The 18,760-nt window shown below is 34.6% G+C and overlaps 1 long non-coding RNA gene across 1 annotated transcript in view, besides 1 other annotated feature; it reads left to right on the top strand.

The window, feature by feature from the left end:
* Positions 1-18,760, top strand: part of LOC124901056 (uncharacterized) — an 891,204-nt gene that overhangs the window by 554,385 nt on the left and 318,059 nt on the right. Inside the window, exons 4-6 of the long non-coding RNA XR_007058919.1 lie at positions 10,559-10,656; positions 11,673-11,714; positions 11,927-11,978. This is a non-coding gene — a long non-coding RNA (uncharacterized LOC124901056). The remainder of the gene's footprint in view (positions 1-10,558; positions 10,657-11,672; positions 11,715-11,926; positions 11,979-18,760) is intronic.
* Positions 17,371-17,571: a silencer, noted in NCBI's record as "peak5453 fragment used in MPRA reporter construct". NCBI's record gives its function as "represses an SCP1 promoter by STARR-seq MPRAs in K562 erythroleukemia cells {active_cell/tissue: K562}" and the evidence as "EXISTENCE:reporter gene assay evidence [ECO:0000049][PMID:32103011]".

Here is an 18,760-nt window from a genome sequence, read left to right as displayed (position 1 = left end):
AAAGAGAGGCACTGTTCTAGGTAGAAGAAGTCATTGTTTCTTATAATGAGTTGATAAATAGGAGAGAAACTTAATCTAATTGATAGAAATTAAGATAACTAATAGGAACAGTTTTCCCCAAGATTAGAACCTAGAGGCTAGCCTGAAAATTCAAAATGGAAGTAACAAAGGATATTGTCACATAATTATAACAGATGCAGCTGACTAAGACTTCCTATGGGTCAGCCATTCTAGTAAATGCTTTGCCAAAATAGGTTTTTGTTGTAATCTTCTTAACAACTCCATTTAATAGATATTACCATCTATACTTTTTGATGAGAAAATTGAAGCTCAAAAAAGTTAAATGAGTAACCCAAATTCACAACTCTATGAAGTGTCATAATCAACATTCCAAAACAACCTCTGTGTCTCTAAAGCCTACACTCTTGTACAATATTCTATTTTATCTGGAAAGAACTACCAAGTATTTAAGCTTTGGACAAGCTAATTCACTAATAAGATGGTATATATTTTTACTTCAAATTCATATAATTCTAATTTTTAGGATATTTTCATGCTATAGTAAAGATTACCTCTGACCGTGAGTATGATAAATAGATTGAGGGAAGAAGACTCAGTGGAGATAAAAAGAATTAGAAAAAAAGCTATACACCTAAAAATATAAACTTTATAGCAAAATCTCCCCCCTCCCTTTAAAACCTGCCAGAAGTCAATGGAATAAATGCTGAGATCAGTAGGCTTTATGTTTAGATAGTGCCCTTGCAGACTGCTCCAGTTTGTTGAAAGGCCTCTTTATTTAGAAATTTCACAATTTCAAGCTCTTTTCCCAGCAACATTCTCCTTATAATCCCAAAATAATTACTTCATCTGGCTCACCATTTAGGTATTATTTTTCCATTCTGATTTTCTTTGCAAGTAAAAAGTGATATCTTTGTTAGGTGTCAAGGAGAAATTTTGCAGTGACATATGTATATGTAAATATACACAAATATATACATATATATATATACACACACACACAATACATAGTAGATTAAAGATAAAAACATGAGAACTCATGTACCCATATGCACATAGAGGTGCTACTGCATGGGAAGCTAGTGGTAGTTTTCAAGTACATTTTAATCTTTGTAACATTAGATCATCAAATTACCCTAGAATTAGAATTCCTTAATGGAGAAAGAAATTAATAAGTGGGTAACTCTTAATAAACTTTTGAACAAAAAGGTTTTGTATATTAATCCCTTTTAATAAATTCAGCCTCAAGAGCAAACATTAATCCCAAATTATTTTTAAAGGTAAAACATATGGATTGTTGAATCAATATCAGAACTATTACAGAGCCCATAATTTTTTCTCTTTTCCGTGACACAACAGCAAATAAGGTCAGGTCACAGCATCTCACCTTCCAATCTAGCAGGTCCATAGTCAACAAGATTATTTTAACCACAGTCTTAAGAACCAGCAATCAAAATGACAAATCTTCACATTATTTGATGATGTTTACAAGCGATTCAGACATTTCTTGTTAACACTGGGAGGCCACCATGTGTTCTAGACACTGTTTGTGAATCTGTCCACCTGATTAGTTTGTGTTCTCTGTAATAACCCTGATAGCACTGAACATATGTTGTGGGCAAGAGCTGTCAAGCAAAAAAACAGAGTTAATGCCATCTATCTCTGTCACCTTTAATATGAACACTTATTTGGTTACTGAATAAGGCAGTGAAAGATTTGGATTATTATACTTTTAATATTTTCACACGTAATAAAAATAGTCTGATGAATCTGAGATGACTAGAAAGAAATCATAAAAAATGACCACTCATTTTACTCAATTTAAATTCATAGCCTAGAACACTATGGCTAATAATTAGCTGCAGTTAATGAAACAAGGCACATGTAATTGACAAGACTGTACCAGAAAGGCACACTCTATCATTTTCAGATACAGTACATTGCATATGCCAGAATTTTATAAAAAGAAGAAAGCTTGAAGTAGGCAGAATCCACAAAAGAAAAAGGCATTAAAAAAATCTTCCTTTTTAGAAACATAAAGTAGCTTCTATACATTATGATTTTTAAATGTGCATGACATTTTTGTAAATGTATTTAAATAAGTGTTTACCTAAGCAAAAATATTCTCCAGTAGTTTTGGCTAAACGTTCTCCATTAACCATGTGTTTTATCTTTGGATTTTACAATCTGACAAAAAATTCCAGACTAGCCTGTTGTGTGCGCAGGTTTACTCAAGCAAAACCGCTACAGTCACCTGGGGCTGCTGAGTTCTCAGTACAGCTGGTTTGTTGTAAATCAATTACAGTCATTTCCTAAGGATTATAAATCGTACTTTAAGAATGTGCTTTTGTGTGTCTTAATTTAACTTTGGTGAAATTCCACTGGATTATGGAAACAGTGTAGGGTTTTATTATGAGCATAAGATGAGCCTTATTAAAAGACTGGGATATTTATTATTCAAGTCATGTCTACACCTCATTAGAAGCTGTATTATGAATAACTTACTCACATTCAACACTGATTTTATAACATCTGAAACCAAGCATCAGTACCAAGCACAAATGAGAGGAATAAATTTCTCCAATCCTTAGGTCATCCCGAAGAAACAAAATCATATGACAAGTACATGATTATTTTAAAAATGATTTTGGATAATGCCGTAACACTCAACCTCCCAAAACATTAAATGTGTTGGTTTCCTTAAAGACATATTTTAAAATGCCACATCTGTCTTGAATATGGCATACTAAAAAATTAGGATAATAAAATAGGGCTCTTAATATTTCACAAAGTTTGAAAATGATAGCACAGATATCCAGCCCCCAACCTATATTGCAGCACTTTTTGTAAACAGGAAAAAGGACACACTAAAAATTGATATGTTATAAAAAAAAATACTGACACAGTATTCAGTATGTACAAAAGAGCATGGACACTTATGTTCAGAGCAACCCTGGAGAACCTTTTGATTTTACAACCTGACAGGGGTATAAGAGGCAGAATGTTGAACAAAGAAATTACAGAGTACTGAGGGTCAGTAGTCATCTGCTTCACAGAGTTAAGTGCCAATATTTACAAAGAATCTCTGTTCCCTTCTTTCTCTTTAATCTATTGTCTTTTTGTAGCAAGGAATGTCTGAAAGGATGCCTGTTAAAGCAAATGAAATAGTCTTTTAGCTAGCATCCTTGACCTAAATTTCTTATCAAACCATCTTCATAAAGATGTTATTGCTGTTTGGTGGTCATTTTAATTGTACATCTTGTTCCAGGGCAAGATACATGCAAAATAATTATCTTTTAGGCTTTATCAGTGTGTCTTTAAAAAATAACTCCAGAAACTGATTATTTATTACAGACTTAAAGATTATCGTTAATGAATCCCGTTATATGCCAAGAGAATTTCATAGGTCAACACACCTAAGCAATCAATCTGACATTATTACATTTATAAACATAAAAATAAAATGCTGTGCAATTAGATTTACATGTTAAATGTAAAAGTAACATATTGAAATAAAATGTTGCAAATTTATATGATTTTAAAATATTTTTAAAATTACAAACTCTATAGATATACTTATTTTTTCCATTATCTGAGCTAAACTTCGTTCATATTCTGAATATATTTTAATCTCAACAATGAACAAGTGATAGTAACCTCACAAGCCTGTTCAATTTCCTTTGACCCAAGGATAAAGGGCTTGAGAAACTTGAATTCATTATTTTTCATGATCCATGGGAAGCCAAAAATAGCAGTAGAACAGTTTCAAATCCTCCTTAAAAGCAAGATATACCCATGGAAGCTATTCTCTAAGAGTAATTTAGGGACTTTTGCTAGGTCCATTTATTCTTTTGGGTTATTAAGAAATCAATTGGTAAGTAGTCACTGTAGTACAATAAAATTTTCTTTTACAACATTTTGTTAAATGTCAACATTTATATTAGTCTTCATCATTATGATCTTTCTCTTTCAGTATAAACTGTCAGAGAATTAATTATCAAAGAGCTCAATTTCACTCTTGGACCACAAATTCAAAGAACTGATTGTACTAACTCTGGAGGCAGAAATACTTAAAAATAGGATATTTTCTACATTGTTCAGTAATGCTTAAATATTTAAACTCTTTAGTGTTCTGTAGTCTTATATATATTACATATAATATATACTATTACATATTATATATACATGTATCTATAATACATATTATGTATAATGACCTATAATATACATCCTAAACATATTTTAAATATAAAGGAATTACATGGAATATTATGATTAAGAAATTTTCATTTTAAGAAATTTAATCTTTTCACAGTCAAGATTAAGATTGTACATGTGGAATTAAAACCATTAATGTATGTAGGATGTAGATTGGATAAACAATATTGGATTGTGTTTAATGTTACCAATAATTCCTTGACTTGCATTAGTACCCTTTGTCAGAATTCTACCCAAACCAGCCCTTGGCATGAGGACATAAATCTTTTCATAACTATTGGCTCCTTGCCCCCAAATACACACAATTGTTTACCCTTCATAATAGTATTAACTTCCATTTGTGAATTTTAGTCCTCATGTCTATGTTAATATTTATTGCTCCTTTGGGCTTATTTTCCTTCTTTAATTCTCTATGTTACTTTATAAGTTAGGCTCATTTTTGGCCCATTGTTTAATCACTTTATATCAGTACTTGCATTAAATTTTCTGTCTAATTGAACCCCTCTTGGCTTTACTTTTATCTGTGAAGATAGCAGTATCTAACTCTGCTAACCTATTTTTTCTTTTTTGGCATGCTTGTTCTTAGCAATCTTTTTATGTATATTTTTGTCTGCCTCTTGTTTTTTGTAAGTCTGAAAGTCTGAGCACCCTTTTTTTTTTTTTTTCTAACTATTACATTTGGATGCTGGACTTCCGAGACTTCCAGAAGTCTGTGAATTTCTGTTTTGCTTTTCAGTTTTCTTGTAGAACCAAATACATAAAAAATCAGGAATAAGCCTCAGTAGTCCACAGAAAGGAAGGGATAGAAAGGCCACAAAGTTCCTCTTCAAACAAAAGATGTGACTTAAAGTGCATGAGGTCAAGAAAATATATCGTAAAATATTTTCAACCATGTCTCCCTGAATTACCATGTGATTTTTTAAAAAATATAGAAATATGATGTACACAGGAAAAAGATTAAAATAAAGCCTATTGCAGAATATTCATGAGCATCACAAGTAATGTTACTGAATAATGAGCTGTGGGCAATTATGGAAAAAGTTGGCTACCTAGGTATAACCTCCATGTGCTTTCATTTACTTTGCTACCTATATATGGCAAAATGGATGGCATTCCAGTAATTGGACTCTAGTCATGCAAAGCAGAGCTGGAATTTTTCTTTCTCCAAAATATGTACTTCATTGGTTTTTGCAAATTCTATAAAATGTACATGGAAAACATTTTTCAAGAAAACAAAAGAAAATGAAAAATAGTAATCTTTCTATGGCTCACATCTATTCCCTTGAGGCAAATGTTAATACAACAGCTTCTCTTTAGTTCTTTGTGCTTACCATTATTTGCTTTGTATAGTGTCTATATATGCCTCTATTTCTTGATTTATCTGCCCTAGAAAATATACATTACCTCTCCTTTGGAAATAATTAAAAAATTAACTTACACGACTTCCTGTATTTCCCTCATTCTTCAACTTCTGACTTTTATTTTCTTCTATTGGCTTGCTTTATATTAAGCCATATGCTAATGCTTGATTTATTGACAGTATTTATGGACTTTCTTGCTATGAAATATGAGAGAATTAAAATACTATCCACTCGAATTTCTCCTCTGTATACTATGTGCACTTTTTGAAAATTTCATTATCACTTTTAAGATCAAGTCTTCTTACATTAAATTCTGCTTGTAAATGATATGAACATTGCATACTTTTTTTAACATGTTTTTTTTCTGTTTTTCTTTTTTTTTTTTTTTAAGTTGAAAACGAATATGGGCCAGGTGCGGTGGCTCATGCCTGTAATCCTACCACTTCAGGAGGCCAAGGCAGGTGGATCACCTGAGGTCAGGAGTTCGAGACCAGCTTGGCCAACATGGCAAAAACCCCTCCTCTGCTAAAAATACAAAAATTAGCCGGCGTGGTGGGCTTCTGTAATCCCAGCTACTTGGGAGGCTGAGGCAGGAGAATCGTTTGAACCCATGGGGCGGAGGTTGCAGTTAGCCTAGATCATGCCCCTTCACTTCAGCCTGGGTGAAAGAGCGAAATGCTGTCTCAAAAAAGAGAAAAAAAAGAGAATGAATATGATACATTTATAGTGTTATATGTAAGTATTATGCATTTTGCTTTAAGTTATGTAGAAGGTAGAATAATTCTGTGCTATTTCAATTTTGCCAAGGGTATTCTTATCATGCATTCAAGTCCATTGGATATTCCTCTAGTTAACTTCTAGCTTCCTTCACATTTGCTGAATTCTCAATTGCTATCATAATTTGTATTCCATGTTATCCTCAATTTTATATTATTTTCATATGCAGAAATATGTTAGGAATACAGTTAACAGCAAATGAGAAAAAAGTTACTAATTGTATATTAACCACATAGGGATATATCCATCTTTTTCATTAAAAATTTAGAGTTTGGAGTATATCTAGTAGTGGAATTACTGGATCATGTGGCAATGTTATGTTTAACTTTCTGAGAAAGTCAAACTGTTTCTCATAGTGGCTGTACCATTTTTACATTCCCACTAGCAGTGCCTGAGGGTTCCAATTTCTGCACATCCTTGCCAATACTTGTTATTTTTTGTTTTAAATGATGGCCTAGTGAGTATGAAGTGACATTTCATCATGGTTTTGACTTTCATGTGCTTGTTGATCATTAGTTTCTTGTTTGGAGAAATATTTATTCAAGTCCTTTCCTCATTTTTACATTTGGCTGATTGATTTTTGTTGTGGTTTTGCCAGTCCTATAGTTTTAAATCTTACTTTCAGGTTTATAATCCACATTGAATTAATTTTTGTGTGTGATGTGAGGTAGGAGTAGAAAGTCATTCTTTTGCATGTAGATACCCAATATCACTTACTGAAAAGACTTTTTCTCCCTTTGAATTGTCTTGGCAGTCTAGTTGAAAAATCAGTGATTATAAATGTTAGGGTTTATTTCTGGAATTTCAATTTTATTCTATCGATCTATATGGCTAACCATATGCCAGTACCACACTGTCTTGATTAGTGTAGCTTTGCAATAAGTTTTGAAATCAGGACATGTGAACACACAAACTTTGCTCTTCTTTTTAAAGATTTCTCTGGGTCCTGTATTTCCAAATGAATTTTATAATAAGCCTGCCAATTTCGTCGCTTTATTTGACCATGATTTTTTTCCTATTTTATTTTATTTATTTCATTTGTTTGCTTTCTCTTTCTGGAATCTCTATTAGGTAGACTCTGTATTGCTAACTAATTAATGTTAAATGTCTGCTGACATTTTCCTTCTCGCATTCTCTATCCCTTTGCTTTTTTTTCCATGTTTTGGAAAAATCCCTTCTCTTAGTGTTTTGGGTTTCTATTTCACCCTTCTACTTTTTCTATTATGCTATTGAATAGCATACAATTTTCAAAAATATTGCAGTGAAAATTTTAATTTATAAGATTTATGATTGGTTCTCTTGCTTTTAGCATATAGGTTTATATGTTCTGTTAATTGTCCCCTCAACCAGGAATTTCTTTGCTAGTTTAACTTGGTGTCTTTCTTTTGCAGTAATTTTTTAGACTTTTTGCCTAAAAATTTGGTTGTTCTTGTTTTGGGAGCTGAAAGTCTCATATTTTTAGAACTCCTATATTATTCTCTGTGGATGTAGTTTCTGAGGACAGGATCTAGCCTTTGTTTATTTTTCTGGAAAAGTATTTGGTTGTTTGTGCCATTGTTTTCTCCTTAGCTTTGGTCTTTTGTCGTATCCTGGGGGGCGGGGGGAGGGGGAGGTTCAGTAGCTCCCTAGGGAAATGCTCAATGTCAAGATTTCCTCACTGTCATATCCAGCCTGTGATAGCTAATATTGTTGTCCACTCCACTGCTCCACTAGCACAGAAAAAGGGAAGACCAATCCAATAGCTCTGACCATGGATGCTCTGTCAGTTGTCAAATATTTGCCTAATTGGCCATTTCTACTCATTTTCTTCATTACCTGTGATCCTAGATAGCTTCCACTGCTCTACCAGTCTTCTGAGCCCATATGTCAATCAGACTGCATCTGATTTCTAGCTCTCAGAATTTCTTATCATTTCTAGCTCATCAGTGGATATTTTTTCTTATAGTCAACTCCATTATGTTTTAATTATATTGAAAGACTTTTTATTAGGTTTTAGGTGAGGAGTTATATAAATGGGAGATAAGTCTTCTCAGTTCCCCATTTTGTTACAAATTTTTCACACAAATATTTTAAAACATATTAGACACTGATAGTTTTCTAGTAGGAAACTATTATATGTATATCTATGAATGTATGAAGTTTATATTTTTCATGTTTATAAATTCCTATATCCTACTATAGGAATGAATATTATCTATGTGCCTAACTGTGTATTTATGTGTTTGTGCCTGTGTGTGTGTGTGTGTGTGTGTGTGTGTGTGTGTATGAGAGATGGAAAAAACACATTTACACCTTGGTCATCATGTTTAAACTGTCATGCCTGGATATAACTATTATATTTAAGATATTTACACTTAAATGTCTTATATGCAAATATTTATATCAAGTTACACATATGATATTCAAAGTAATAAAAGAACAAAATAAAAGGGAAAAAATAAGAGCAAAAAAGAGTTTTCTCAAGAGACACATCCACTTCAGAGTAGAAGAGAAAAGATAAAGTTAAGGGGAAAAAAATAGAAATTCATCTTTTTGGCTCCATGTATTTCAAACACTACTCAGGTTAAATATAGATGTCTTTTTGAATATGACAACATTTTCACATTTTTTATAAATGTTGATGTTTCCCCTGCTATATCTAGGTGACTGTATTTCTATACATTTGTACTTTCTGTTATATACTTTCATCTGAGTTGTAAATTTTAAAAATCTGTGCTCTCTTTCTTAGAATTATTTTCATCCTCAATTATCTGAAGCTCTTTCCATGGGAAGATGACCCTGTCTAAGAAAGTTCAGTTCTTGTGTAATAAATAACACATAACTACACTCAAGAAACTAATATTTAAATTTGTTTAAAATATCTTTAAAATGTTTAAGGAGAAAAGGATTTATTTTTTAAAAAACTCTTTAACAGAAGGTCAAGTTATAAACAAAAACTGCTAGAAGGCTCATCCCTGGGAGGTTATTTCTATCTAAATAATATAGTGATTGAAGACAGAAATATCAGGTAGAGTAAAATTATATTAAGTTTAGTTGCCACAAAAATCATTTTTTATTGGATAGATATTATCATCAGACATGATAAAAACTTCATTGATCACCGTCTGGCACATTTTCTCCTTTATTTCCCATGAAAGGAAGAGCAAATGAGAAAACTAAAAGGGCATTTCAGAAGTGAGTCACATAATTCATAGAAATCCACATATCAAGAAAGTCAGTGTACTCTCTGGAGACAAATGGTTAGAAGCTTCAGCAACAATTGTGAGTTGCATTGATAGAGTTCTCCAGAGATAAGCCTTTTCTTTATAAATAGAAGGCTAAGAGGTAAGCTTTTCGGTTCTGTTCTGCAAGCTCCAAGTGACCAGAACATACCACATATCTATAGATTTTTAAAAGTAGGAAAAGATCCAAGACTTGTGATATCTGGGCATTAAAGCTTAAGCGACAGAGATCTCAGTTCAGAGCAAAGGAGTTCAGTTCAGAGAAAAATATTTATAAATAAACTAAAAGAAGTAAGGTTTAATATAAACCTTCTCATTATAATTGTAAAGATCTTTATATATTTTACTCTTGCTGTCCTTTAGTGCCTATGTTTCATATATAGTAACTGAAATTCATACTCTTCATGGAATTTCAAACTATGTGTCAGGCAGGTGCTATGATAAATGCAGAAGATAGACATGATTATTGTATCAATGGAATTAACAGTCAGTTCCGACTGTTGTATTAATCAACTAACTAAAAAATAGACTAATAAAATTCACAATAAGGAAAGCACATGGTATGACAGGAACAGAAGACAGGGGTGCGTCACTGAGTCTGGGAGTGAGGTGAAATTCAGAAAGAGTTTCTTAAGGGAAATCATTAGTAAATAAGTGAATGAAGAAGAGGAGTTTGCCAGATAGAGAAAAAGTTGGGAGAGGTAGAAAGAGAAGGTATGTTGTTTCAAATAAGAAAAACAGTATATGCAAAGTCTTTAAGAAGAGCATTACATGTTGAAAAGCTTATAAGAAGTTAGTTATGAATGGACAAGAGGGTGTGAGGCAGGAAAGAACAGTAGCAAAAGTAGAAGCTACACAAGGCCAGGTAATAAAGGGGTTCATGATCATCCTAGGGTATTTAAACTTGATCCTAAGGGAACTTACTTTATTTAGAGTACTGTCATTACTATGTTTATGTTTCAGAAAGATCACTCTGACTGCTACATGGAAAATGTGCTGGGGAGAAACAAGACTGCAGGAAATAAGAGCAGTGAACAAGCTCTTGCTGTAATTCAAGTCAGGTATGATGATATGATGGTGTCTCAGATTGGGGTAGTAGCAACATGGGTGAAACTATTTGGACACAGTCAGGAAATAGAAGATAAGACTCCAGAGGATTTAATAATTCATTACATGTGGGAGAGTTGAACAAAGAAAAAGCAGGCAATCATGGCACCTAGGTTCCTGACCAAGGCAACTAGAAGAATGGTGAGGCAATTCACTAAGTTTGGAACCATTAAGTACAATTGGATAAATTGCACAATTCCATGTTGCCATAGATTGGCTTATTACCTCCATTCTAGAAAGAAGGACATTCAGACTTAGAGAATTCAAAGGACTTGCATAACATCCCTAGTTACTAAATGGTATGTTACATCTCAATCTTAGTTCTCTAATGTCCATGTATGTATTTAGTAAGTATGATATTTTTACTTTCCATTATTTGGATCTGAAATTATCTTAACTATTTCATTTACTCATTTAATTTCAGTATGGATTGTTTGCATTTATAATGGGTAAGCACTGAGAATTGAAGTCAGCATGGTCCAGTCCCTGTCCTCAAGGAGCTTTCAGTCTCAATTCCTGATTTGCAAAGCAAGTAGTACCTAGGAAGGAATAAACTGTCTGACTGATACATGCCTTATAACCACATAGCTATTTAGTGGCAAACATTAAGTTCTAATGTGCTGTCTAGGAAGCAATGTTAAATTTCAGTCTCACCTATTTTCTTTTTCCCATCCTGTTGGGATTTAAAAAAATACAGGAAAAATGGGTATTGTGGCACAGTGAACTTTTTGTCTTTATTTATTTCCACCCCACCACCCCTGCCGAGAACTTAAATGTTTTGCTCAGTGCATTACCATACCATTTTAAAACTACATTTCCTAGCCCATCTTTCAGCTAGATATGGCCATGAGACTCAGTTCTGGACAACGGGAAACAATAAGAGCTGTCCTGTGGGACTTCTAAGATATCTGAAAGAGAGGAACTTACACATTTCTCCACCTTTTCCTTTCTCCTGCTTCCTGGAGTGCAGGTGTAGAAGCTGGAGCTGGAGCAGCCATTCTGAACTATGTCGGTAAGGGCGGTACTCCCATGGTGGCTTGGAAGTGAGCTGGAGGGCACCAAGGTGCATGATGATATCATGGGGTTCCCATAGATACCCAGGATCACGAACATCAGATTTCATTTTCATGAGACAGAAATAAATTCCTGCTTGGTTCAAGATACATATCATAAAAGGAAAAAAAAAAAAAAGAAGTCCTGACGAAGATGCCATTTATTTTCTAGAAAATCTACCTGGAAATAAAAAGTTGACTCACCGATTCACACCATTTCCATTGTAAGTAAGACGATATCACTGTATTTATCATTAAGCATTTTTTTACTTGCTTTATTTCAGAAAAATAGGGTTTGTTCATTTTTTTCTCACATGCTAACAGAAGATTATATTTACTGTAACTATATATCTGAAACCAAATAGGAATATATTTCTCTCCCATATGTATTAGGTAGCCAAACCTATGTGTAACATCCTCCCAAACAGCAAACCAGAGAATCAGCAATTGTCTCAAGACCTTTTCTGAGTCAAGTAAATCTTGGCTAAGGGATTGTCCTTGCACTCGTTAAGAGGACATGCCCAAGATAAACATTACTCTCAGATTTTTGTTATACAAGTGAAGAACCAGGAGCAGGAAATTACTTCTCCAATTAGAAAATTCACAGGCAGTGGAAAAAGGTTGCATTATTCTGTCTCCCAATATACTCAGAGAAGCAAGTTATTTGTGAGGTGATAAACTTACATGTTAATGCGCTGAGGGAAAGGGGAGTAGTGATGTGCCCCAAGGGCAGTAAATCCCAGTATACACATGAGAAAAGAAAGCAAAATGCTCTTCACAAATCTCTCCCCATCAGCTGAAGATAGACCCCTCTTAGCCCAAGGCTAGAAATTGATCACCTAGCTCCAATAATTCAATTATGTGCTCTATATACCTTATCCTACCTGTGCCTTTATCAGCTAATCTAAATTGGTTGAATTTATAAATTTGCCATATAAGTACTTTGGCTTGGTTTTTTCATCTCAGGTACTACTCTGTTCAGACGTAATCTCTATTTCTTTATAAGAAAATTATATATAAGGAAAAGTCTTAATATTTATTTGAAACTGAACACTTATAATTAAGTGTTCATTTTAATTAAGTTAATTTGAACTTTCAAAAAAACTATGAATTTATTTTAAAACAAAACTTCTGCCTTTATAGAATGACAGAAAAAACAAAAGCATAGTGGCTTTCCCAAATCACAGCTTATTTTAATACACCAAATTTGATAATAAAACATGGCAGTGTGCCTACACTTAATACACATGGCAATGTATATTACACTTGTAATATAAGTGAAGATATATTACAAATGATGTTTTCTACTTTACTATGTATTTTAGAGGGTGAGTATAAAAATTGATTTATGATTAACATCATAAGTTCTGTATCAATTACAATCACATGTGTATGGCATAAGAATTAACTTTACACCGTTACTGAGAGGAAAATAAATTGTTGATAAAACAGGTAATCACTCAAAACTCAGGACCTCCAACAGGTAATTGATCTGCAGCTTTATATTCTTTGTTCTTATGAGAATAATTGTCCAGAAATGACAAACGTTGCCAACCATTTTTTTTCTTGACAATATAATTGTGAAATAGCCAATTAGACTTAGAGTTTCAGATCAATATTTTGATAGCTTTTTGAGATGAAGCATTCTTTTGATGGTGGTCAAAATTAAGGGCTACATTAAGGAGAAGATTTTTCAATAAGTGATTTAGTGCTGCGTCTAGCACACAGTGTAATTAATAATATGTCTATAACACTGCCAGAGAATTAAGTGGAATTTACTAACAAATGCTGCTACGCTTTCACTTCTACTTTGATAATTTACTTTACATTAATATAAATGAGGTAAAATTAACACCAGCTCAAAGTATAGCAGCCCATTTAATTTGGTCGAATATTTCTCAACTGCTTTCAAGTGATACATTTGGTTTCAAGGGTAATAAAATCAGACCATTTATCATTTTTCATTTAAAATACATAATTTTGTATATACATTTGCATTTAAAATTCGTTTTTACTGTTCTTTCAGATACAAGACAAAAACATCTTAAGATATTTTAAAATTTAATTATTAGTCAAAACTTTTGTCTTGTACAATAAAAGAAAAATAAAAAGAATTCCTGAGTAAAATGCTATTTATTTTATAGAAAACCTACCTGAAAATAGAGTTGATTTATCTATTTTCATTGTAACTAAGAGTATGTCACTGTAATTATCATTAAGCATTTTTTACTTGCTTTGTATCAGAAAAAGAGTTTGTTCGTGTTTTCTCTAATGTGCTGACAGAAGATTATATTTACTGTAAATGGGGCCCATTACTCCACATCAGAAGTTACTCAAAAGAAAGGAAACATCTTTCTAAAAACCTTTACTTAAAGAGGGACAGACCACAAAATATTCACCCCACACACAAAAAAAGTGAAAACAAAAATCACTGAGGTATCTATTTTACTATTTATTTATTTTCTTTTTGTAGAGACAGGGTCTCACTATATTGGCCGGGTTGATTTCAAACTCCTGACCTCAAGCAATCCCCCTGCCTTGGCCTCCCAAAGTGCTGGGATTACAGGCTTGAGCCACCATGCCCAGCCAAGATGACTATTTAAAAGCCGTGGTTTAGAAAGCAGAAAACATATGGTTGAATTTATGAGAAAAAAGAATGCATGATATTATTACTTAAAGGAGTGATAAGTATGGCTAAAGGTGGTTAGGAATTCTGTGGTAGAGGTGAGTTTTGTAATGAACACATGTTCTGATCCTGGTCACAGCAGTAGGCAAAGTGTCATAGTAAATAAAGGGCTTAAGGCAAAACTTTCCAAAGCACAGTCCTGTGTTTTTTTTAAAGTGTTTCTAAATTACAAAAAAAAAAAAAAATACAAAAAGAAATTAAAGGCATACATTGCATTTCTCTGGGGGAGCTAGAATTAAGCAGCCTTGTACAGTTAGACATGAAAATGTATGGTGACATTATGTTTTGTCTGCACTTTACTATTTGCATTTCTAGAACAGCTAACGTCTAAATGTTCAACAAAAATTGATGTGTATTGACTTTGATTCACAATTTTAGAAGGAAGAATGAAGGGAAAATTGTCAATACCGAGACAGGCAATCTTTTTGGAGGCATTCATTTCCACTGCTCAATTTTTCTGGCATAAGGTCCACATGACAGTGTTTGGGTGGAAGGTATGCTTTATACAACAAATCGCTAAGAAGGCAGACATTGTTCTCAGGAAAGGAGAATGTGTGATATAGATGGCAGGCAGATACCAAATGGATGGTTTACACTCTCTTCTCCTGATTATACATTTGTCCCTCAGAGGCATTCTGATCTCCTTCCTTGTGCTGTGTGGAAAGGCATGTGTGCATTGTGCCTGGCTTATATTTGCTTCTAACAGAGAAGCAAAGGCAGTCTCAGAGGACAGGAAAAGAAAATAACTGGGAGGGGATCTCTTTGTTTCCCTTTGATTTAACTCTGGAACCCGTTACTTTTGGCTGCAGCCCTAAGACTGTGATTCTAGCCTGGCTGGCGCATACTGGCTGCTGGCAGTGCGAAACATTGCTTTATGAAGTTCCCAAATAACATGAAAGGTTCCAGTGTTCTCACCTGTGTGTGACCTAGAAGGTGGGTTCAAATATTTTTAACAGTTCTCTGTCAACTCTTGGAATTCATGGTTTGATTTTTGTTTTGTTTCCATTAAATGGAAGAAAGAGACCACATTTCATCCATAAAAATTTAGGCTTCATTTCAAGCTGAACCCCCTGAGGTAATTTTAAAATTCTATGCTATATTTTAAAGCCATGGTCACAAAATAATAATAACAAAACTACTTTGTATAAAAGTTGTCACAGATTAAAAAAGCCAAAACTCCTTTCCCATAAAAGGTTTAAGCTGCTTCTCTCCATTGCTCCCCTTCCCTATCACTATTAGGAGGATGTTATTACAAACATGAAAACTGAATTCCCTTCTGCCTGACAGGTAGCTCCTAGGTCCCTAAATGTTGCCTAGACTCTGGGCCTTCCATTTGTTTTTTTAACCCTGTCTAGAACACTGACCCTGGCTGATGCTATGACACTTTTATTTGTTCTTATTTCAGGCAGTGAGATTAATGACAGGATTCTATTATAATAACGTTGATATTAAGATGACAAGGACTTTGACTACAGTACTGTCAGCAGAAATGAAGGGAATGTTTAAAGGCTTTTTTATGAAAAGGGATTGACAAACCCTTATAATCCTCAATGCAGGGAGGGGAGGACTTAAACCTTTCAAGCATGGCTTCTTTGGGAAAAAAACATAACTGGCAACAATAAGGAAGTCAAAGGAGGAGCCAAATGGAAGAGGAAAATGAGCTTTTTAAGACTTTTTTACATGGCCAGTTAAAGTTGTATTGAAATATCTAAGTCAGGGTCTCCATGAGGTAGTTGGGTTTGTAACTTAGGACTGGAGCTGTAGAAAAGAAATATGTAAGGATTGCATGGCACAATTGTGGATGTAATGAGACTTCATTCATGAGAGGCAGGGAAAGAGAAAAGCAGCAGGCCAGAACCTGACCCTTGGGATTTGCAGGGCAAGGAGAGGAACTAGAGGAGGGAGCAAAAGGGTCATGTGAGGGATGGGAGAAGGCCAGGGTGATTTCTCCTTACCTCCTGAAAGATGATAACAAGCTAAAAGTAGAAGTGGTATTTTTATTCTCCTGGTTTTTCTACCTTATCTATAAAATAAGATATTCCCATGGATGTTGTTTCTCTTCAGAACGTACCTCAGGATGACAAAGTAATGGCGAGGAAGGAAATTTGCTTGATTGAGCAATTTTTTTTCTGAGTCATCAAGTACTATGTGTATATATATTGTGGCAGCCATGGAAATATGCTACTCAAATCTCCTTCAAGACAACTACTTTGAGGAGCAGATTGGCAGCCCCAGCTGCTTCCTCTCTAGATCCACCACTGCACTGAAGCCAGTGTTCCCTGGGCTGTTCCCAGTGAGGGTACTTGCAGACCATTCTTACTTAACACTATTTACCAGGCAGATTTTGCTTAGAGACTCCCATTGACCTGATCAAGATTACCTCAGAACTGCTTTGCTATCTGGGGCTCTTCTGACCCTATCCCTCCAGCTGTTATTCCTTAAGCCTGCATTGAACCCACTCTTGATGGCTACTCCTATTTGCTTCCCCTTCACAGGCATTTCTCCTAATGCACACCTCTTAGTATCTGCTTCTCAGAAGCTTCAAACTCTTACATACCAACTTAAGTTTAATGTTGACCTGGAGAGCTCTGATAAATCTCATCCCTCAGAAATAAGAGCCAAACCTCTAAAACATTTTTTTGTGATTTGTTTCCTCAAGATTTTAAGACTTAAATATATCCTGTTTGGAGTCAGATCTGTGGAGATGATACATAAAGCCATTGTGAGAATTACACAAAATGATGGTTTATGTATCATTCCCTACAATTTTTCTTGAGGAGACTCAAAAAGGTTAATAACTCACTCCAAATCACCTTGACACTGAGAGGAAGTGTCAGAATTAAAACTCAGTGGACATCATTGGTGGAAAAGATCCAAGATTTTCCACTGAAACAGAAAATCATATTCTGGCTTATGAAGCATTGGGTAAATCCCTAAATGTTTCATTCATTTTTCATCAGGTAGTGAGAGGCTCTGTCCTTGGTGCTGAATTGCAAAAAAAATTACAGAGTATTATTCTTCTTATGGAGCTTATAGTCTGGTGGGAAAAACAGTTAATAAATAAATGACATGACTTCAGCTCCTTTATTCTATTTAAAACAAAACAAAATGTAAGTAATATCTATGGTTTCACTGACTCCTACTAACTAAATATAGAAAAAATTTCATTAACTTCTGAAGAATTTTATCTGAAAGAGATACTCTCGAAGTCTGTGGAAAACATCACAACTAATTGCATAACACTGAACACATTTCCATTGAATATTAGAAAGAGAAAAACGTAAAAGAAGACCTGGGTAAGTGAAAATTAATACTTTAAAAAATCAGGGCCAGGCGCAGTGGCTCACGCCTGTAATCCCAGCACTTTGGGAGGCCAAGGCGGGCAGATCACGAGGTCAGGAGATCGAGATCATCCTGGTTAACATGGTGAAACCCCGTCTCTACTAAAAATACAAAAAATTAACCAGGCGTGGTGGCGGGCGACTGTAGTCCCAGCTACTCGGGAGGCTGAGGCAGTAGAATGGTGTGAACCCGGGAGGCGGAGCTTGCAGTGAGCCGAGATCGCACCACTGCACTCCAGCCTGGGCGACAGAACGTGACTCCGTCTCAAGACAAAAATAAATAAAATAAAAATAAAAATAAAATAAAACAAAATAAAAATCAGCCTGTTGCCTGGCAAGAGTGACACCATCCTGAAGCAAAACCATCAAGATAACCAATGTTTGACCTCTACATATCAAGGTGTTCTGCAGCAAGGCCCTAAAACGATGCTTGTAACATAGATAATCCCTCATAAAGATGCTTATCTAACCTCCCTAGTGGTCATGAGTTTTAGCAAGAAAGTCTCAGATGTGACCAGCTGCACATGTTTTACCCCAAAAGCTTGCTATATAAAGGATCTTTTCTGGAGGGCATGTGAAGGAATCCACCATCTTGTGGCCACCCCAGATATCACTTCATTTGTAATTCCCTACTAAATATTTTCTGTCTGAGAAACTGGATCTGTCAGGCTCCTTCTTTGACATCTCATCTCCTTTGGCCTTTTGAGGTAGGCTTTCATATACTTGCTCACCCTGAATTCTTTGCAAGCTAGCCAGGAACTGAGAAACCAAGAAATAAGTAAATTGACTAAAGAATCTGTAGGGAAAATATCAGTATGGCTAGCCATGTCTCTGTGGGGTGGTGTGGCATGTCTGTTAGACACTTGGGGACCTCCACATTAGTACCCTGAAAATGCTGGTTGGCGAAGAGCAGTTATTACTTCAAAGCTACATATCACACTGCAGTAAGGAAGGGTGGCTGGTAGCCACTGCAGTGGGT

This window comes from Homo sapiens, chromosome 5 (assembly GCF_000001405.40).
Source record: "Homo sapiens chromosome 5, GRCh38.p14 Primary Assembly".
In the NCBI taxonomy this organism is placed as follows: Eukaryota; Metazoa; Chordata; class Mammalia; order Primates; family Hominidae; genus Homo; species Homo sapiens.
Note: the sequence above shows the minus strand (reverse complement) of the source record. Positions and strands in the feature narration are given on the sequence as shown.